The sequence below is a fragment of the Homo sapiens genome, chromosome 1, assembly GCF_000001405.40.
Source record: "Homo sapiens chromosome 1, GRCh38.p14 Primary Assembly".
Classification (NCBI taxonomy): domain Eukaryota; kingdom Metazoa; phylum Chordata; class Mammalia; order Primates; family Hominidae; genus Homo; species Homo sapiens.
In genome coordinates, this window is record NC_000001.11 from 34004541 (window position 1) to 34026985 (window position 22445).

At 45.6% G+C, this 22445-nt stretch overlaps 1 protein-coding gene across 12 annotated transcripts in view, besides 1 other annotated feature; it reads right to left on the reverse strand.

The window, feature by feature from the left end:
* The window catches only part of CSMD2 (CUB and Sushi multiple domains 2), a 651845-nt gene that overhangs the window by 490543 nt on the left and 138857 nt on the right, over positions 1-22445 (reverse strand). The window lies entirely within an intron of this gene.
* Positions 14755-15573: an enhancer, noted in NCBI's record as "OCT4-NANOG-H3K4me1 hESC enhancer chr1:34484896-34485714 (GRCh37/hg19 assembly coordinates)". NCBI's record gives its function as "activates a minimal SCP1, AML or CMV promoter by ChIP-STARR-seq in naive and primed H9 embryonic stem cells {active_cell/tissue: H9 hESC(naive and primed)}" and the evidence as "EXISTENCE:reporter gene assay evidence [ECO:0000049][PMID:30033119]".

Sequence of the window (22445 nt, forward strand, 5' to 3'; positions counted from 1 at the left end):
CAATAATAACATGTGTCGTCAATTTAATTAGGGCTTTTTGGGAAAAAGAGAGAAAGAAAAACACAGCATAAACTGCATTTGTTGATAGTAAGATTTGTTTTGATTTCCAAAAGGTTAAACTATTGGTTAGGGTGTAGGAGGGGAGGGAGTACATCTTGCAATTGAGAATATATGAAATCTCCCTAGGGGGCTTTTTAGAACGAGATGGCCTGAGGTAGGGTCCAAGTATTCCTATGGCCTGGTCAAATAGCATCTTAATTCCACCTAATCTATTATTTCCAACTCTCTCCTACATGTAGGAGCTTGATGTTGTTCTGAGAGTGTTCCCCATCTGGCTCTGGACTTGCCAATCCTCACTCGCTCTCCTTCTTCCTCAGCAATTACCTCTTCTCAATCCTTTCTGGGCTGGGCTGAGCCCTGACCTGGGGGTCATTCGACAATTACCCCTGAAGACAATGGGCATGGATGGCTCAGCAGCTGTAGAATCCCCCACCACTTTCCATCAGTGGCTCTTCATGCTGACATGGGAAACCCATGAACAGAGTTCCCATTTAAAGAAAGTGACCTCTCAATAAGAAAGCTAATTAGATACGAGAGAGAGAAATCTTCCCAGAGTAATAGGAAGAGCTCCCAAACCCAAGCACATTCAGCTAGGGAGACCCTCTCTGCCTTGGCCAAGAGGCAGAGGGAGAGTGAAAGACCTACTTCCTGGGCAATGACGGGTCATGTGCTCATTTCTGGCTTAGGCATTTTATGGGTGCATCTGTGATAGTGAAAATACAGACAGTGCTTAGGCTATGGGAGAGGATTAGGTGGGGAGAGAAAAGAGAACTTTTAAATGCTCCTAATATCTCACTTGCCAGGAATCCTCCACTTCCCCTTTGTAGAACCAATCTGTGATTTATTTATGATTAGGTGTAACCCATATGGCTACTGCAGGCTCTACCACGCCCAGGCCTTGAATGTGGTCCTGACTAGGGCAAGGACATCATTAGAAGGTGGAGTCCAAATTAGCCATGTGGCCACAGGCCCAATATTATGAGTCAAGAGGAGCCCATCAAGCTTGAACCTTCCTTGCACTCACCGGTTTGGTATAGTGTCTATGACTGAGTTTCTGCCTCAGTTTCCTTGACTCATGCTATAGGTCTCCTAGCACTGGAACCTTGTCAGATTCTGGTCACCAAGGTTTGGGACACTGCTGAGCTCAAGAGTCTTTCTTCCATGGATGGCTCCTACTCCTCTGATACCTCAGATTTGTATTCTAGCAGAGCCTATGCAGCCTGCTTCCCAGGTATAAGCATCAATCATGCACACTGTTATGATGCTATCCTCTCTGCCATCCAGCAATATGCTCTGTGATGCCTGAGGTCAGAAATGACACAAATAGCACATGTGCCACTATTTTGCTCATCCACCCCCATGCAGACATCACTAATTGATCTCTGCCCTCTTCTCAGTGAATCTAGATGTGGTCTGAACACATGGTTTTTGTCAACCACAACCAATTGACTGATATTGGCAATACAAGACAAAGTCCATTTGCCCTCACTACCATATCCTTCTATCAGTATATACTTGGCCCTCTTAGAACTCCAGCCCATCTTGGTTCATCACTCACTCCATCCTGAATCCCAGCCAAATACAAAGCCAAGGTGCCTCAGTCTAGAGAACCTTTGAGACAGTCCTCCCAGACCTCATCAGGGTCCCTTAGTCCTTAACTCAGAGATTAATATCTTGCCTAGAGGATGGGGATGCTGTACGTTGCACCTGGAGAATTCTGTGTCCCCAAGACCCCACCTACACCTGCTTCTATTATTCCAGGAGCTTCAACCTAGAGCCGCCAATAGATCAACTGCTCCTATTCCACCCCATCCCACCCCAGATCTCATTACCTGACCCTCTCACCACCGTTCACCTCCACACTGTTTCCAGAGGAACTTCTCTAGAGTATAAATAACAGATAAAGATAGGTGAGTAGCCTGGGTTTCCAGAGCCTCAGAAAGAAATTATTCTAGGGCTTATCAAACACTTCATTGTTTTGCAATTGCTGGTTGACAGGTTTGTCTGTCTTACTTGTGAGCTCCTACAAGTCACCAAAAGACTTGGTCCTGTTTATCTTCATTTTTTTTCCATCTAATAACTAGCACAATGCAAGGTGGGATGAATAAGCAAATGAGCCACAGTTCATTCTTGGGTACTAGGCTCAGGAAGTTCATGCTCTCTGCCTTCTCATCCCCTATAAGCCACCAGCCATGTCCAGTGTGGAGTCGTAACTACCCCAAGGTTCCCCAGGTCCAAGACAGTAAAGGCCCCCAAGGAGTATGCAAGTGCTGGTGAGGAAGGTGAGTGTCCCCCAGGGATTCCACTGCCAGACTCTCTCAGGCATGGAAACTGTGACACGCTCCCATCTAGCCATAAAAAATGTTCTCTCCCGGGGCAGAATGCTAGCTCACTGCCTCTGGAGATTCTGCATCTAGTCTGGAAAGAGGCATGCCCTGTGAATGACCAGAGCATCCTGGTGCCCACTTCTGGTGGAACCTAAAAAAGGACCTTTATTTAAGTCGAAGTCCAGAATTGCATCCAAGATGATAAGCAGAGGACTGGCCCGCCTCGACCTGAAGCTCCCTCTCTGTCTCCAGGACTCAGACACCCCTGAGCATCACGCCTGACCTCAGCCTCATGGAAGTGACCTCAGCCTCATGGAAGTGCCCACTCTGGGGAAAGCATACAAGGAGCACTTACTCGGTCCTCTGTGGATGGGAAGCAGGCCAGACCCTGGCCATGGAACAACAAGCTTCTGAGAAACAGGAGTTCTGCTAAGAGTCCTACAGCTGTTGGGATATGGGCAATCCCTCAAGATTGGCCTCCTCTGACCCCTGTTGTTGAACCACCTTTTACCCATCCAATTTTAAACTAATTGGTTTAAAATTGTTAATATTCAGTGTTGGGGAGGGAGTGAAGAAATGGGTATGCATTACTGATAAGAACATAAATCTCCCTGGAAAGCAATTTGAAGCCACATACCAAAACTCTTTGAAATGGCCATGCCCTTATAGATTTATTCTAAGGAAATAATCAGATGCATCCCAATGATTTATGTATAGGAATGTTTCACGACAGCATTATCTGTCAAAGGGGAAGAGTAGAAACAATCTAAATTTAAACACAGGGGATTGGCTGAATAATTATAGCAATATAAATAGCATAAATATATATATTTCGAATTTTATGCACTAATATGCACATATATGCCTGGAAGAATAAATTACATATTAATTGTGGTTATATCTAGGGGGTGTGATAATAGTTGATTTTAATTTTCTTCTTTGTGCTCTTGTGAATGTCTCCCATTTTCTTCCATGAACATGTAACACAATCTGTAAAAGCAAGACATGTGGTCTTGAAAAAAGATGAGCATATCCAAGGCTGGCTGTCAAAATGCAGTTTGAGTATAAATTGTTTGACTATTTGAAAAAGCCTGGAGATCTCACTTAAACCAACAAATAATTATGCTTTATGGAGTGCGCAAAACCAAATCAGAATTCTGAAATTTGCTGTCAATTCTCTGCACTCATCTGTCACTGGCTCCAACTCCAAGTGGGCACAGGTGAAAAATAAAACCACAGACGTGCTCCATACTTTACGTTTACCACCCATCTCCCCACAGGTTCCTTCATTTCACCTTCCAAAGTACCCTGTGAAGAAGGCAGAGCAGGTGTCAGGATTCAGCCTATTTTAATGCAGGAAGAAATGAAGGTCCTGAAAGGTTAAATGTCTCATTCATCTTGTCCCCCTAGTGAGCAGCATGGCTGGGACTTTAACATCGGGTTTTCCAACCCCAAATCCCAACTCTTTTAGTTGTACCATGTTGTTTCTTCTCATACAAAGTACTGTGGATGGGCAGAAGCTTCTGTGAGTCAATACAAAGAACTGCTAGGTCTGAGTACTAATAAAAAGATGTAGGTTAAGTCAGTAGACTTGCGCCCATCTGAAGGTGGTCTCTAGTTTTCTGCCTCAGGGCTCTATCATGATGCTGTTCTGTTCAACAGAACTAAGGAGAACAATAGGTTCACGTTCAAAAACTCTTTCTCACCTAAACACACAGATGGGCAGCTTCTAATAAAGTTGGAGCTTTGTAGGAATATAAGTGAAGTCTTACGATATTCATTTATTCATTAATAGCTTTGTATTTATCTGTGTGGTTGCTTGTTTAACATCTCTTCCCCTACTAGGCTGTAAGTTCCATGAGGACAGGGTGTGTGTTGTTCATGACTATATTCCCAGTGCCTCTCAAGTGCTTTGCATACAGTGGGTGCACCATAACTATTTGCTGAATGAATGAATGAATGTTGATTTGACATCTTCACAACCCTTCTCACCTCAGCCTGTTATGGAAGAAATTGAGGATATTTTGGTGTGAGCTCCCCAGCTTTCTTTGCCTACCCCATCCACTTTGCCTACCCCATCCACCCTCTGACACACACACAACACAACACACAACATACCACACAAACTCACCCATCCTTAACCACTTGGAGCCAGCTGCAGAGAATAAGGGGCTCTTCCTCCTTCTCAGGACCCTTTCTCTCTCAGGACTTAGTGATCCTTTTCTCTTTTTTCCAGCAAGCTCCATTGGTTTTTAAACTCACCCTTGTCTCTCCTATGAGAAAAACAAAGCCAAACAAACCCAGAACCCCAGCTGGCCCCACGTCTCCCCTTATCATTTTAATGTCCTATAAGAGGTGACCAGACACCCTTCTCTACTTGCTCACCTCCAATTCTTGCCTCAGCCCCCTGAATTGAGGGTCGGGGGTGGGGGAAGGTGGAAGGGCCTTCCACAGTGAACTCTGCATACTCCAGGGTAGCATCTGAGAGCTGAAGCCAGGAGACACTGTGCCGCCCTGATCTTTCTGGGCCTTTACCCTGCTGACACCACTCCTGGAGCCTCTGACCCCAATATCTGCTCAATCTACTCCCAGCTCTCCTGGGACCTCAGTGATGGTCCCTCCATGTAAGCCTCTTCCTCTGCCTGCCCTGGGTCTCTCCCAAGACTCCCTCGCTAACCACTGCCCTCCCCACTGAAACTGCCTCTCCCTGAGTGATCTCACACCCTCCTGGAGGGTTAACTAGCATATAGTAGCGCTTAACTCCTAAATCCATCAGGAGTTTCTTTCCAAAAACTGCTGACTTCTTGGACATTCTGCACATTCCTTTGCCTTATTGCTTCCTCCTACCCCCACTCCCCCACATTTAATAAAATATTAACTCCTGCTGATTTCACTCCTATGTGACTCAACCCTAGTCTCTCCCCTACATCCCATTCCCATGGCCATTATCCTAGCTCACGTCTCATCATCTCTTATCTGGACCAAGGCAATGTTTTCCTAAGTGGGCTCCCAGCCTCCAGTCTTGCATCCTTGCAATCCATTCTCCCTTCAGCAGCCAGAGTGATCTTTTGAAATGTCTAATTGTGTCACCTCCTTGCTTCTAAGAGCCCTTCAGTGGCTCTCCATTGTCTACAGGACAATGTTCAGATCCTTAATATTCATACAGGTCTGTCTGCTGTAGAGCCTTCCTTGCCTTCTGATACTATTCCCAGAGACTGAATCACATGCAGCTTTCCACCACTCTATGTGGGCCTTGGCCTCCAGTCTTTGCTCAGTCTTTCCTCTTTCTGTCTGGAATCCCTTCCTCTCCACTTCTTCATCCTTCCCTTAGTTCACTGACCCTCTTCCTGTAAGACTCAGCCACAGTGGTGCCACCTCCAGGAAGCAGGGCCTGTAAGGGAGTTATCATCCACAACCCTCTACCATACTGGATTATAAGGATAATCCATCATCTACGAGCATTTAAAATGTGCCACATAGTTTACCTGCATTCTCCTGTTATGTCCTTTTAACAGTAACTCTGTAAGGTAAGTTCTATTGTTAGTCTCATTTTATAAACATGGAAGCTGAGGCTTAGAGAGGTTCAGTGACTGGCCCGAGGTCACAAAGGGTGTAACCAATGGAGCTGGACCCGAATCCAGGTTGATCGTCAGCAGGGCCTGCCACACTGACTCTCTTGATTTTTTTTTTCTTTTTTTTCTTTTTTTTTGTGACGGAGTCTCGCTCTGTAACCCAGGTTGGAGTGCAGTGGCACGATCTCGGCTCACTGCAAGCTCCGCCTCCCAGGTTCACGCCATTCTCCTGCCTCAGCCTCCTGAGTAGCTGGGACTACAGGCGCCTGCCACCACGCTAGGCTAATTTTTTGTATTTTTAGTAGAGACGAGGTTTCACCGTGTTAGCCTCGGTGAAGGATGGTCTCGATCTCCTGACCTCGTGATCTGCCCGCCTCGGCCTCCCAGAGTGCTGGGATTAGAGGCATGAGCCACCGCGCCTGGCCAGTGATTTGTTTTTGAGCTTCCTTCTGCCTTGGGAAGGCCTAGCCACCTTCTTTTCATCCTTTAGGTCTTTACTTCCTCTAGGAGGCCTTCCCTAACCCATTCACCTTAAGTCTGGCTTGGATGCCCTTCCATTTCACTCCCATGGTCCCGTGTCAACCCCTTCACAGCCTTGGTCACTGTGTTTTGACTACTGGTCTAGCCCCAAGCTGGGCTGGGGGCTCCAGGAGGTCTCAGGGAGAGGCTGCCTGTGCTCATGAGTGAATCCCCACTGCCTGGCACTGTGCTAGTAATTCCTGATCAGATTACTACATGCTTCCCTTCTTTTTCCCACCAGAGGCTGAGCCCCAGTCTAATAACTCTTTCTAATAACTTCTACATATAAAGGTGGGTTGGGGTGGACTGCTATCAAAACTGACAAAAGTCCGGAAATCAGTTTGGTAAACTGGCAAAGGAGTCCCATTTCCATTTGCTCTGAGGTGAGGTAAACGTTGCAGTGTTTCCATCAAGATGGGAAACAGAAACGAAGAGAGGCTATGAGCACGTGCCTAAGAGAGTCCATTCTTTCCCCACCCTAGTTCCCGGGGCCTCTCCACCAGTTTTGTTTATAGCTCATGTCCAATAGTGAGTGAAAAGCCTATAAGTGTATTCTTTTTTTTAATTTTTAATTTTTGTTGAGTACATAGGTGTATATATTCATGGGGTACATGAGATGTTTTGATACAGGCATGCAATGGGTGATAATCACATCATGAAGAATGGGGTATCCATCCCCTCAGGCATGTATCCTTTGTGTTACAAACAATCCAATTATACTGTTTCAGTTATTTTAAAGCATAAATTAAATGATTATTGACTATAGTTACCCTGTTGGGGTATCAAATAGTAGGTCTTATTCATGATAATGATTTTTTCAACCCATTAATCATCCTCCCCTCCTCCCTCCCCACTCACAACCCTTCCCAGCCTCTGGTAACCCATAAGCACGTTCTGAGTGACGAGATGAGTTAAATGAAAAGGAGTAATTTGGACATCAAGGCACCTGAGTGATAGAACCAGGTCTGCTACTGACAGTGAGACTATAAACATCGCTTTGAGTGGCTAGAAGCCGTTTCCTCATCTGAAAAACTGGGAATTTGGGCTGAATGGTTCACAGTTTTCTTCCAGTTTTAAGTCTATCAGGAACTGTCTTGTGGCCCCACAGCCTCTCCGATTCCACCATCTATGCCTCTCTCCCCACCCATCCCCACGAGCCACCCAGGACTCCTTGCTCCTCCAGCAGATCAGGCCCACCTCAGAGCCTTGCCCTTGCTCTTCCCGCTGCCGGGACACTCTTCTCCCAGGCTTCAGTCCTTCACCTCTTTCACCTCTTCACACAAATACCACCTTCTCAAGGTCTTCCCAAACTGCCCATCTAAAATGGTCATCCCTCCACCCCAGATCCGTCTTATCCTCCTCTGTTTCTTAATTTGCTTTGCACATCAACATGTACATACTACACAATTTTCTCTTTTAACTTGTCTATTTTTTTTTTCTTTTTTGAGAGTCTTGCTTTGTCACCCAGGCTGGAGTACAATGGCGTGATCTTGGCTCGCTGCGACCTCTGCCTCCCAGGTTCAAGTGATTCTCCTGCCTCAACCTCCTGAGTAGCTGTGACTACAGGCATGCACCACCACGCCCGGCTAATGTTTGTAATTTTATTAAAGACAGGATTTCATCATGTAGCTTGTCTATTATCTGCTCCATATACTAGAATGTAAGCTCCATAAGGACAGAGAATTTTTATCTGTTTTATTCACTGCTCTGAGCCTAGAATTTCAAATTATGCCTGGCACACAGTAGTAAGTACACAATAAATATATGTTGAATGAATAAAAGATTATCCTTCAAACACACACAGTCACATAAACAAAGCCAGTGAAATATAACCAAGTCCCATACAGCTTCCTTCAACATAGCTGCCAGGGCCTGGGCACAAAGGGGATACATTTGCCTCTCCAGGCTTGTCTGCATTTTGTTTTCCTGGGGTTCCCATCTGCAATGGGCCAGCAAAGCTTCCTTTTTGTGAACCAACGATTAGCCTTTAGGAAGAAGCCCAACACTAAGCCCAAGCCACAGATTGATTAATTGTTCTCTAGGTGTGAACGCTAGCAAGCTGGCTGAGCGTTATGGCCATCGACAAAGGCACTGAGATGGGAGCTGAGGGCAGTTCAGCCTTCCGGGGAGGGCTGCTTTGAAAGCAGACGTTGCAGTTTCCTTTCAAGTATTATCAGTCATCATCGTGCCATTATGGAGTTTTCAATCCATCGTTCCCTGGGCAATAGGTGCCTGCCAGGCAGAGATGAGCTTCTGTGCTCTGTGCCATGGGCGAGCCTTTGTCTGCGCTGCCATCTGCTCCCTGGCACCCATGCACACACACGACCTGCCTCTCTCCCTCAGAGGGGCATCCTCTTGACAACACAGTCCTTCTTGCTTCTCTCAGGACCGCGGGGTAGAACCCACCAGCTCTCCTGAGACCCCAAATCCCTCCACTCAGCCAACATGTGCTGAGCTCCTGCTGGGAGCTGGGCACCTGCTTCAGGGAGATAAGTAGGGAGCTGGGAAGCCCTTCGGGGCAGGGGCTAGGTCTCCTTTGCCAGGGGCGGTACTGTTCTTGGTTCCCAGCTCTCTACAGCCTGATCTGCCCCTTCTTAGACCTCTGGAAGGAGCTGACACTACAACTGCTGCAAGAACCAGAAACAGACATAACTGTTTTCCAGGTCCACACCTGGGGAAAAAAAGGGGCAAAGGGCACTCTCTGAATACCACAGGCAAAGGCAGCCTTGGGGAGTAAAGAGAATCCCTCTTTTCTGTCTCTGCTCCCTTGCGAGGTCATCTCATCTGACCTCATGGCTTTCAATACAATCTACACGCTAAGGATGCTCCAACTTACATGGGCAGATAGGTTCTCTCCATCCAGCTGCCTACCCACCAGTTCCTCCCATATTCCTGGCAGGCTTCTCACACCTAACAGTCTGAACTGAGCTCCTGATCTCCGCACCCCAAACCTGCTCTTCCTATGGGCTTTGCCACCTCAGTTAAGGGCAGCTCCATACTGCCCGTTGATCCCCCCAAACCCTGGGAGCTAACCTTGGCTCCTCTCCAGCACCCACTTCTAATCTGCCAGCCAGTTCTATTAGCTCCACCTTCAAACTGTCTGGAAGATGCCCACTTCTCTCCGCCTTCACCGTTGCGGCTCTCACCCAGAGCGCCCCCTGGCTTCTCACCTGCATTGCTGCATTAGACTCCGGGCCAGTCTCCCTGTTCCCACTCTGCACTCCTTCAGCATATTCTCAGCACAGCAGCTGGTTAAAGCTAGGTCAGACCAGGTCAGCTTCTGCTCAGAACCTGCCCATGGGTCCTGATAAACTCAGTAGAAGCCAAGTTCTTCCCATAATGTAAAGGCTGTGTGTGACCTGGTCCCTTGTCTCCAACTTTATCTCTTCCTACCACTCGTCTCCCTCACTCTGCTCCAGGAGCACTGGTTGCATCTCTGTTCTCCAGATATGCCAGGGGAACTCTCACCTTGAGAGGTCAGAAGTGCTGCTGGCTCAGAGCCTGGGAATTCCCCAGTAGGCCATGGTGTGGAATCCACAGTCGCTCTAGTGTGATCTTTTCCTGGAGCCTAGGCAAGCGACCACTGTGCCCTAAGCGCTCAGCTCTCCAGCAGTTGTCACAGTTGTCTGATTTTTTATCTGTCTCCTCCACTAGACCATGATTGCCCAAGGGCAAGGGCTGGTGCTACCCATGTGGGTTTTTCCAGGCCTTGTTCAGAAGAGGTATTCAAGGCATATGAATGGATGGATGGGTAGATGAACAACAGCAACAACAAAACACCTAGGTTTGCATAACCTTTATAGTGTTTGAGGACATTTCCTCCTGTTTGTTCTTGGTTGGACAATGAGAAACAAAGATACTCTCTGTACCAAGAAGCCTCAGCCAGAAGCCAACCAGTCCATGTGTGCCTCTAAGCAGGGTCTGTGCTTTTCCCCAAGACAGCTGGGTGTGCAGCACAGGAAAGAAAATATGTATTCTCCCTGGCTTATGAAGGGTGGAGCTGCTAAAACTACAGTCTTCCAGGCATATTTCTCAAGAAAAGAAGGAAGTCCTCCTGTATCTTACCCCTCATTTGAGACGGACACAGAAGCTTTAGGAGAAGTGTCCCATGACCATACTAGCTGGAGCCCCCAGAACCCAGGTGCATGTACCCACATTCTTTTCCTGCTGAAAATTCTTTTCCTTCCCAGGGCAAAATGGGATCTTGGAGGGGAAGCACACTCGACCTCACTGGGCATGGCTGTATGTGAGCTCTGCTGTTATCTCATTATGCTCATACCCCTATTTTACAGTTGAGAAAACTGAGCCTCAGAGATATTACAGAGCATTCCACAGTGAGTGGTAGATTAACCCAAGAACTCTATGATTCCAAAGTGTAGGCTTATCCTATTGTCCCAGCAGTGTCCTTTCTCTTCCCTGCCTCCAGAAGTGGGTGGGAGACTAGCTAGGTGAGAGGCATGAGGAGCCACCATGGCACTGGGTCTAGGCTTACTTGGGCCTGGGGAAAGCTAATGCCTGGGTAAAGCACCCATCCCTTCCCAGGCACTCTGCAGATTCCTGGATCACAAAGGGCTGTAGGGGTTCCAGAGATGCTGGAGCTCTGGTACAACAGGAGGGCCACAGGCCTGGATCCCTGCAGTCTTATTGTTCATGGCATCTGAGAGGCAGGGCCTAGACCAATACTAGGGATTAGAAAGCACTTTGGAATCAAAGTCAATGGAATGAGTGGATAAGGAGTTGCTGATTTAAAGTATTATAGATCCATTGGATTAGCGACTCCTAGATTTGTCATGGATTTTAGAAAGCATCTAGAGCAAGCCCCTATGCAGTTCAGCCAAGCTTCTCACACGAATAAATCTTCAGCAGGAAAAGAATGTGGGTGCATGCACCTGGGACATGGGGCTCAAGAAAGTATGGCCAGCCACCAGAAGGATATCTCTGAAATCTCCTCCTCTATCTTTTGAAAGATGCCCATTTACACTGGACTCCTTGCTCTGTGTGTGTGTGTGTGTGTGTGTGTGTGTGTATGTGTGTATTTAGTTTATGTGCATGAATATTTTATTTATATACATATATTTAGTTAAGATTTATAGTTTATCATTTTATTTATAGAGAAACATATACGTTTTTAAATTTTACTTTAAGTTCTGGGATACATGTTCTGAATGTGCAGGTTTGTTACACAGGTATACATGTGCCATGGTGGTTTGCTGCACCTATCAACCCGTCATCTAGGTTTTAAGCCCCTCATGCATTAGGTATTTGTCCTAATGCTCTCCCTTCCCTTTCCCCCCACCCCCAATAGGCCCTAGAGTGTGATGTTTGCCTCCCTGTGTCCATGTATTGTCACTGTTCAACTCCCACTTATGAGTGAGAACATGCGGTGTTGGTTTTCTGTTCCTCTGTTAGTTTGCTGAGGATGATGGATTCCAGCTTCATCCATGTCCCTGCTAAGGACATGAACTCATTCTTTTTCACGGCTGCATAGTATTCCATGGTGTATATGTGGAAGACAGTGTGGCGATTCCTCAAGGATCTAGAACCAGAAACACCATTTGACCCAGCAATCCCATTACTGAGTATATACCCAAAGGATTATAAATCATTCTGCTATAAAGATACATGGACATGTATGTTTATTGCAGCACTATTTACAATAGCAAAGACTTGGAACCAACCCAAATGCCCATCAGTGATAGACTGCATAAAGAAACATATTTTTAAAATATATATTTGGTTGAAATATATGTATTTAGTTTACTATTTGATATAGATAGATAGATAGACAGATAGAATGATTGTATGTATATTTGCTTTACGATAAGATTAGAAAACGTGCCACATTTAGCTTGTAGGCTTTGGTGCTCCCATCATGCAACCCTCAGGGCTATATTGTATTTCACAGTTTTTTTTCACATATAAACAATTCAGAAATTAGAATGAGTATTACAACCAAGGGTACGTGATCGTTTAACTGGCACTGTTTTCTTTCTTAGTGGTGCATAAAATAATGGTACATCTTACAGTCAATAGAATGTCAACTTTGATAAAATCCAGTATATATGCCAGTTTGGAAAGTATGTTAACAGAATCCTTGGCAGAGCTTGATCAATCAAAGCCTTGCTTGATCACCTCCAGAAATGAGGAACTCATTACATCACAAGGCAGCCTACTCCAATTTAGGGTAATTAAAGCTATATAAAACAACTTCTTGATTCTTGGCTGAAATTCACCTACTTTTAACATCTTTCCATTGGACATTGTTCTACTCCCTGCAGCAATGCAGAACGAATCCTTATTTGTCTTCTGTGAGAGAAACTCTCTTGTCACTTCCAGATCTTCTCCTTAACTATTCTTTGTTTCATAGTTACTTGTCTCATTAATTTCTCCCAAATACCTACTTAGTTTTGGGTCTTGTGCTAGAGATACAATCCATGACCCTCAAAAACATCTTGTGGCCAGGCACAGTGGCTCATGCCTGTAATCCCAGCATTTTGGGAGGCTGAGATGGAAGGATCATTTGAGCCCAGGTGTTTGAGACCAGCCTGAGCAACATAGCAAGATACCATCTCTACAGAAATTTAGCCGAGTATAGTGGTGCACACCTGTAGTTCCAGCTACTCAGTAGTCTGAGGCAGGAGGATTACTTAAACCCAGGAGGTCAAGGCTACAGTGAGCCATGATCACACTATAGCACTCCAGCCTGGGTGACAGAGTAAGGCCTTATCTCCGTAAAACAAAACAAAACACCTTGCTACTGATCAATGCTTTATTACATGAATTTCCTTCTTCTGAATGCATCCACCCTCCAAGATCCAGAGTCTATATTTCCATTAATAGAGCCATGTGACATTTGATTCATGTTATGTTCATAGCCAACTGACACCTCCACATAGCTTTCACACAAGCCAGGACTTCACTGATGTTGGTTTGAGTGTTAGTTTACTCTGATTTTGGTTTTTCTCCCATTTGCTATTTATCACACAAACAACACTTGAGTAGCCATAAAGAGGAACTTAAAAAAAAATTCACCCACATCTCACTGCCTGCCCACGTCAACTGTTTCTTTTTTTATTTCCATCCAGTCCCTGTTCATATAAGACCTACTTTACATGTTTGTAATAAATATGAAGAATCCATTTTGCATTCTGGTTTTTTCACAGAAAATAATATCATAAACATCTTTCTGTATTGCCAAATAATGCTATTATACTTTTAAATGACTGCATAAATCTATTAGGTAGATCTACCATAATTTGCCTGGCCATGCCCCTACTGTTGGACATTTTTACAGTTTCCAATTTTTCATCATTATAAATAATGCTGAAATCAACACTTTCATGCATATAACTTTCTTCTTCTGTTGAATTATTTCCTTAGGATATATTCCCAGGAGGGGAATTACTGGGTCAAATGACATGAGCATTTTATGACTCTTGATACATACTGTCAAGCTGGATTTCCAAAGGACTAATTTACATCAGCACCAGCCATGTGCGAGTGTGTCTGTGTCTTTGCCACCACTCCAGCACTGCATCATACCCACCGAAGTTCTTCAGCCTAATTTAATAGGGATAAAGTGCCATTTCATTGTCTTAATTGACATTACACTGATAACTATCAGGACCAGGTAGTGCTGCTATGTATTTATTTGCTGACTCTATTTCCTCTGGTGTGAACTCCTTGATACCTTTCTTACCACTTTGTATGGGTTCATTATACAATGCAGAGGTTAACCCTTTGTTGCCACATTTGGTAGAATATTATTCAAGTCAGTTGTTTCTCTTCCCATTTTACATGATTTTTATTGTGCAGAACTTTTACATTTGAATATAGTCTGATCACTAATCTTTTCCTTTTGTTAGATTTTTTAAAGTACAAAGCTTGACACTGCTCCCTATTATAGTGGAATATTTAATTTGGATCCAATAGTCGCAACTATGTGAAATTATTTTATTCCTTTTTGTAGACTGAAGTCAAACTGTCTGGATTCAAACCCACACTTTACCTCTTACTAGCTGTGTGACCTCAAGCAAGTTACTTAACTTTCAGTGCCTCATCTGTAAAATGGAGATAATAATAGGGCCTACCTCAAAGGACTGCTTGAGAATTAAATGTTAAAATGTAAGGCACTTAGAAGAGTGCCTGGCACCTGGTAAGAGCCCCAGCAATGCTAGCTTTCATTATCATCCTGACGATCATCATCACCCAATGCATTTGCTATGTCTCCCTGCCCTGACTCCTCTGCATAATTTCCCAGTATGATCTCTAGGGCTCCACCCACATCACTCACAACTGGAGACCCCAGCACTTGAACATTCATCTATTCAGCAAGACTCTTCAGGTGAGCTTGTTCAATCAGTTACAGTCACATCTGAATGTCAGCAGAACAGACAGAAATATCACAAACAACTGTGTAAGCAATTGTGAAGGCTAAGCTGCTCCACGTAGAGGGCATTCCTTCTATTCCAGCAGTGTAAATGTCCATCCATAAAGGCAATGTAGGGAGTGAGCCCTGGGCTTGGTCTCCCCTTGTCCTGGCACCATCCTCAGTGCTGGTGAAGGTTCAGAAACATTCTATGCTCGACAGTGGTCCCTGCTTTGCCTCCTGTGACTGGTTTCCTTCCCCGCAGTCTGCCCCTGCTCTCCCCAATGTCTCTAAAGCATAAATCTCACGGAGCCACTTCCCTGCCTAAGACCCTTCAGCGATGGTCCCCTTCTTGTGAGTAAGGCCCGAACTCCTTCCTGTGGCCTCCTAGGTCCTACATGAGCTATTCCCTGTCCCTCAAGCCAGTTCAGCTCCGGCCACACCCCTGCCCTCATACTCCACAACTGCCCTTCTTGCAGTTGCTCAAATGCCTTTGCTCTTTCTTCTGGTCTTTGATTCCATTCATTCACCAAATATTTACTGAGTACCTAACATGTGACAGGACCTGTCCTAGGAGCTGAGGAATCAGCACAGAACAATAGTAATGCAAAACAACACAAAGCTCCTGACCCCAGGAAGCTCACATTCTTGCAGAGAAGGACAATAAGCAAATAAATAAACAGTCATAGCATATGTCAGGAGGTGCTAGGGAGTGATGGGTAACAGGTGCTGTGTTATATACAGTGTGGTCAGAAAAGGCTTCTCAATAAGAAGACACATGAGCACAGAGCTGAATGGAACCAGGGAGAGGGCTTTGGGGCCACTGGGTACAGGCAAGGGGAACAGAATGTATGGAGGCCCTGAGGCTCAAATGTGTTTCACCTGCCCTGTCCCCTCCACTTCCCAAGATTAGCTCCTGGTCAAGTAATTCATTACCAAGCCCAGTCTGTTTACTCTGCAAATATAGCTGGATAAAGGTCTTGAGGGATAACAGGAAGCGGAGAGCTGGAAGGAAGGATGACAGAGCTGGGAAGCAAAGCCACTGTCCATGAGACGGGTCTCAGGCAGCAACAACGCCCTGAGCAAGGCCAGGGCTGGGGACCACAGGCTCAAGGAGATGCCCCAGCGTCATGCTGCTGGCCCACCCGACTCTCCCAGGCCTCTCCTGCTGTGGGGTAGGGGTAGGCGAGTGGGGCAGGCCTGGAGAACTGTGCAGGGCTTATTTTCAGCAGGAACACGGTGGAGAGTGTGGGCTTTGGAACCAGACTGATTTTTAAATTGTGCATGACCTTTAGGTCCTGGTTCACCTCAGGCAAGGTAACTCACCTCTCTAGGCCTCAACTTCCTTATCTGTAAAATGGGGATCCTAAGGCCTTGCTCACGAGGTGGTTATGTGTCGGTTGTTGTCTATAAAGCCCCCACCCCTGCATTGCTGAGCATGTCGAAGGTGCTCGACAAGTGCCAGTTCCTTTGTTGTCTTCATCTCAGAGGCCCTGGGCTATGGACCCTGCAGCTTGTATGAGGATAAAGGACTGTGAAACAACTCCTATCATGTAACGGCATCCACAGGGGAAGGACAGGGATGCCATCTGTCCACCGCCAAATCTCCAAATCAGAATCTCCTACCTAATGCGGTAAGTGCTTTTCTCTCCTGCTGTTAAAATGAAATATCAGTGGGTTCAACTCTCAGTTATTCACATTAATGAAGGAAAAGGTAGAAAGAATAATCCAAAACAGTGGTTAATCACTCCTGAGTTATTCATTAATGGCAAGAGGTGGGACTGAAATATTCAATTTGACACTTCTGTTTGGAAGTGTTCTCTCCCCACTGATGCTGGGCTCATGGGTTGGGAAATAAGTCACCCCAAGGAAGAGGTGGCAGAAAGGCATGCATCCCCTAAACCTCTAGGGCTGGGGTCAGTGGAGGAAGCTCCAACAGGGTCACCTGACCCAAGGGCACAGGAAGGAGACAGATATGCATGTCCAGCTACGGTCCCTACCAGAGCAGCAGTTGAAGGACAACCCTCTCCCCTTCTATCCACACGGGAGAAATCACATCCAGGTCCCCACCCAGTGGTTCTTCGGTACCAAGGGATCCATCCTGGGAGGGGCTGGGAGTGGGCTGGCAGTGGTCCTGAGCTAGCCATGTTTGGGGGTCTCTGGGCCCCCCTGCCTTGAGCACGGTTATGGGAGGCAGGGTCAAGCCTGGGGCACCCTGCTGCTTCCCGTGAAAAGGGTGTTTATCAGCTAAAGACCTGTGCTAATAAGTGTTAAATAGAGTTCAATGCAGAAAATTGAGAAGTAATGAGACTTGGAGCCAAGAGAATAAATTAACAGGTGATCACATGGTAAAGAGTCCCCACCTGAATGCTGAAAAGGAGGAATCCTGACCATCAGAGAGCTCTGGGTCAGAGAACAGGTTGGAATGATAAGTACACCTCAACTGAGGCTAAGGGGTGGTTAGGAGCAATTAAGCAGTTACCATATTTCATCGGTTCTAGGGTGCAAGCTTTTCCATATTTTAATATCTCTGAAATTAGGATGTGTCTTATAGTCAATGGCATGTCACACTTTAATTGGCAGCATTTTTTTCTTTCTTAATGGTACATCAACTAAAGCTGGATCTTACGACTGGGGGCATCTTAGAGTCAAAGAAATATGGTATCAGGTACCTTGAGCCTAAATCTCTTTTCTTGCCTGGGCCTTTCACATGGGGCAAGACGATCATTTATCCATTCACTTGTTTAATCGGTATTTATTGAGCACCTACTATGTGTCTGACCCTGGGCTAGGCACAACTGTGAAGAGTGATCCTAATAGCTTACACATCCACTTAGTGAGTGTTTATTCTATGCCAGGCATTATTAGGAGCACTTGATGTGTTACCCCATTTCTTCCCTACAACAATCCCATGGAGTAGGGTTTATTATTCTTATTGTCCTCCTATGATAAGGGGTCAGAGGAGGTTAAGTGACTTGCTCAAAGTCACATGCTGGCTACTATCTGGACGAGTTGGGAGTCAAGTCTTCCTTTAGACCCTGAGCTCTGACTTCAGTGCTCTATTGAGCGTTCTTCCTGTCCAGAAGCACACACAAGAGTAGAGAAGGTAAACAAGGAACAGAAAATACACGAGTGATGCACATGATAGAAGGAGAAGTGCAGGGAGCCAAGAGGTAATAGAATAGGGCTGTTGTACACAGGGGCAGCCTCTTGGATTTAGTTTAGGCAGAGAACAGAAGAGAAGAGTTGGGTGGTAGTGGTGAGGTGGTTCAGGAGAGGGGACTCAGTGTGTTTGAAAGACAAGTGGGAAGACAGAGTATGGTGCATCTGAGAACTGGAAGGGGATGGAGGTAGGGCTCATGCCGGAGGTTTTGATGGCCAGGTAAGGAGTCTGGACTCCATCCTGGAAGCAATTAAATGGTTGGGGATTTCCATTGTTGTTGTTGGTTTGGTTTGTTTGTTTGAGACAGAATCTTGTTCTGTTGCCCAGGCTGGAGTGCAGTGGCGCAATCACAGCTCACTCCAGCCTCAACCCCCTGGGCTCTAGTGATCCTCCTGCCTGAGCCTCCTGAACAGGTAGGGCTACGGGTACATACCACCATGCCTAGCTAATTTTCTTTTTAATATTTTGTAGAGATGGAGTTTTGCTATGTTACCCAGGCTGGTCTCAAACTCCTGTCCTCAAATGATCCTCTGGCCTTGGCCTCCCAAAGTACTAGGATTACAGGTGTAAGCCACCACACTCGAAGGATTTAAAGGGCTAAACCCTTTAACCCAATTAAAGGGTTTCAAGTGAAAGCTCTCTGAGATCTTTGCTCCCAAGCATCCAATGAATCTCTGAATCTTTTGTTGGATAGTGAATGACCACAGACTCCCAAGAGGACGGTTCTGAAGTAAAGCTCCAAAACCTTCAAGTTGTTCAAGTTGAGTACTGCGAAAGTATGCCCAGGCAGAGGGGTGATAAGGATTAGAACCCAGCCTATACGCTATCCACTGAGCCATATGCTCACAGGACAGGGTCTTCTCAGAGTAGCCACTTTTGTGTTGTACAAAAGCCTTATATAGACTAGTAGGGATCCAGGTCAGGAGATGCAAGCAATAGCTACCATTGCAGGACTCCTACTGTGTGGCAGGCCCTAGACTAAGGTATCATGGTGGCAGAGAAAACAAAAAAGTAAGTGATAGTTCTTGCCCTCGGAGAGCCACAAGATTTGACCAAAGGTTTTGTCAGGGGAAAGAATTGGGTTTTTTTCACTCCCATAAAACCCACCATGCCTTGTTATATTAGCTTCCTTTTACTGAGTGCCTACTATGTGCCAAATGTCACCCTAGATTCTTTCTAGACCTTGTCATTCATGCTCACAGTCCTCTTGAAATGGAGAGAAAATTACCCCATTTTTCATAGGAGGAGTCTGAGAGGTGTAGTTCCTTATCTAAGGGCATACACTGGGGATATGGCAGAGCTCAAACTTGATCTCCAGAAACCTAACCGGGCATGAGAGCAATTTTCTCCACGTGGTAGACGAATTGGTTGTTTTTGAATAGCATCTCTGTGCCAGGCACTTGTCACGCACTGACTCTTTAATCCTCATTACAACCTATTAAAGTGGGCATTATAGTTTCTGTTTTGCAAAAAAATCATTTCAGGGAGGTTGGGAGACTTGCCCAAGGTCTCACAGCCAGCCTGAGGGAAAGCTAGGGTTTGGATCCACATCTCCTGTCTCCTGGGCTTATGCCCTTACTTCTCTCCCAACATTTTTAGGTTTCAGAGCTCCTTGAATGTAGGGGCCACTTCTTATTCTTTCTTGTATCCTCAAAGCCTACTTTGGGACTGATATATAGCAGGTGTTCAGTAAATATTTGTTGAATGAATGAAGAATGAATGAATGGGGACAGAGAAGTGAAGCAGAGGTACACTGTATCTGCAAGCAGGCAGCTGCGTGAGAATGCTCCTTCCTCCTCATCACTGTTTCTCCTGACACCCTGACAGGAAGACGGTCATGGCACTAGAGTTTGGCATAATATCATCTTAAAGCTATGTTAATACTCTTCCCCAAAGGGGTAAAATATTACTATGCATGATGAACTATTTGTGGGATTATTGAGGACGTGATATGAAAATCATCCTGATTCTCCACTTATTGAGAAGTGCTGCCCAATTTGTCTCAAATGTCACGTCTCTATGTATTAATTTGCTACTCCACAGTACTGATTAAAATGAATGTTCTCCAACTCCCAAGGCAGAGCCATCGGAAATGGAACAGGTTCACTCAGGAAGCACACACCATCCCTCCTGAGCGGAGGAAATGGACATCTATCACCTCCCTCCCTGGAGGAGGGCATTGGCCTGCTGTTCTGCTGTTCTGGCCTGGAGTGGCTTAAATGCTGCAAATTGCATATTCAGTGTATGTCTATCTATATATATGTGATCAAATGGCTTCCATTAGCCCAATTTTGAGATGTCTGCATCATGTCCCAGAATTGGGGAACTCTTTTGGAATGAGGAAATTGTCTGAGAGGCTGAGGCCGAGAGAGAGAATCAGCAGGTCTAATTACAGGAAAAAACAAAACCAGGAAAGGCCCATTTCTCCCATGTACTTGCTTCCAATTCCATCTCTGGACCCCAATTTATCTGCGTGCACAGTGGCATGATCACCTCCAACCCTACTCCCACCTCCAAACATCACAGAAGCACACTGTGTTCTGAGGCTTGCTCCTAACCTGCGTCTCCTGGAACAGCAAAACGGGCAGCTCTGGCTCCATCTGTCCATCCCTCACAGATGAGTCTGTCTACCCTGTTGCAACACGCTGTGGTCCTTATACAGAGATGATATTACCGATCTTCCATTGGTAGCAAAAGCATACCAGGGTTTTGTCTTTTTTTTTCCAGAAGTGACACTAAGTGGAGCATGTCTTCTTTCTCCCTGCTCCCCTTTGGGAGGGGAGATAGACTAGGGAGAGAGCACAAATCGTGACAATGAAAATGAAGCTTGGATGAAAGTCAAGGACTGCACACAATATGTGCCCAGTAAATATTAGCTCAATGAACGAAGAAATCTCTACCATCAACTTAATGTGTGAGGTCAACCTCTCTGGGCTGTTTTTTTAGGTGAACTAGGGGATCGGGGTGGCCACAGGGCATCTGTAAACTCCCTGTGAATCTTATGGAAGAGTTGTATTTGTGTGAGTACGTGTACATGCATGTATGTGTGTGTGTCACAGTTTTCAAATCCATGACCTCAAAAGCCTAGGGCCTATTTGACTTCTTACTAGGACCCTTAGCTCTAAAGCCAACATCTCTGATACAAAGAGAAGAGGCCATGAACAGACTAAGTTCCTGGTTTGGCCTCATTAGCTCCCATCCACCAAGTGACAAAACCTGAGACTTCATCCCTATCCAATGGACACAGGCTCAAGCAGTGCCAGAGGCTCATGAATATGAAGAACACTCTGCTTCTTCCCTCCAAAAGCCACCGTCTGGCTGTAAAGCTAGACACACCACGAACAGCTGGATTAAGGATTTTATGCAAACTCTGGAGCCAGGGTACTGGGGTGGGGCTGGGATTGTGAACTATGAAGTTGACATATTCCTTCCATCCCCTGAAATAATCCCAGTCAAGTAAGGTTAGGATGAGAGTGACTTAATTAATTAGCTGACATTTATCAAGCGCTGACAATTTGCCAGGTCCCATACTGAGCACATCTTGTGACTTGTGCATTCTCTTCCTTAATCCTCACAACAGCTCTAAGAAGTATTATTCTTATCCTGATTTTATAGGCACAGAGGCTGGAGCTCAATGAAATGACATAACTTGTCCAAGGTCAACCAGCAAGTGAGTGGCAAGATAGGATTTGATTCCAGGTGTCTGAATTCAGAACCTGAGATCTTAATTCTTGTACTATGCCACCTTTCCCCTTATGGTTACCAAGGAGTCCACAAAAAATAAGGGAAAATAAGGGTACCTCATCCTTCTAAGATTCTTCATAGAGATCATTAGTGGAATAGAACAGGTCTGATTTTTAAGGAAGCCTATAGTTTGATAGTGAGATGTCCAGATCACAGTTAGACTTAGCTAAACAAAGAAATACCTGTTTTGAGAGCTAGAGTATTAAGTAGATCTAACAGACTGAGACCCGACACTCAGAGATGGGCTCTCCTTCACAAAAGTGTCAGAGTGCACGAGATCCATGCTGCTAAAATGCAGAGGTGCAACCAGGATTAAGCACTAAAAACCTGCAGAGACTCTTCCCTCATTGGCATTTCTGATCTGCCCATCACGCTCGCTTACCTGGCGATCAGTCTGGAATAATCGGAAACAATCTCATGCAACAGTTGGGAGTTGTGTGTGGGGAAGGTGGGAAGTCTGGGGCTAGGGTGAGAAAAAAATGACCAAATGGCAGGAAGACTGGAAACATCAGATAGAGACACACTGGGGGTAGAGTGGGGAAGATGCAGGCTTCCATGAACTCGGAGTGACACATGGCAAGCATCAGAGAGCCAAAGACAGAAAGGGAGACACAGAAACCAAGATCAACACATCTGGGTTCCAGGAGGATTTAAAAATAAACAGTAAAATAAAACTAAAAGAATAAGGTGAG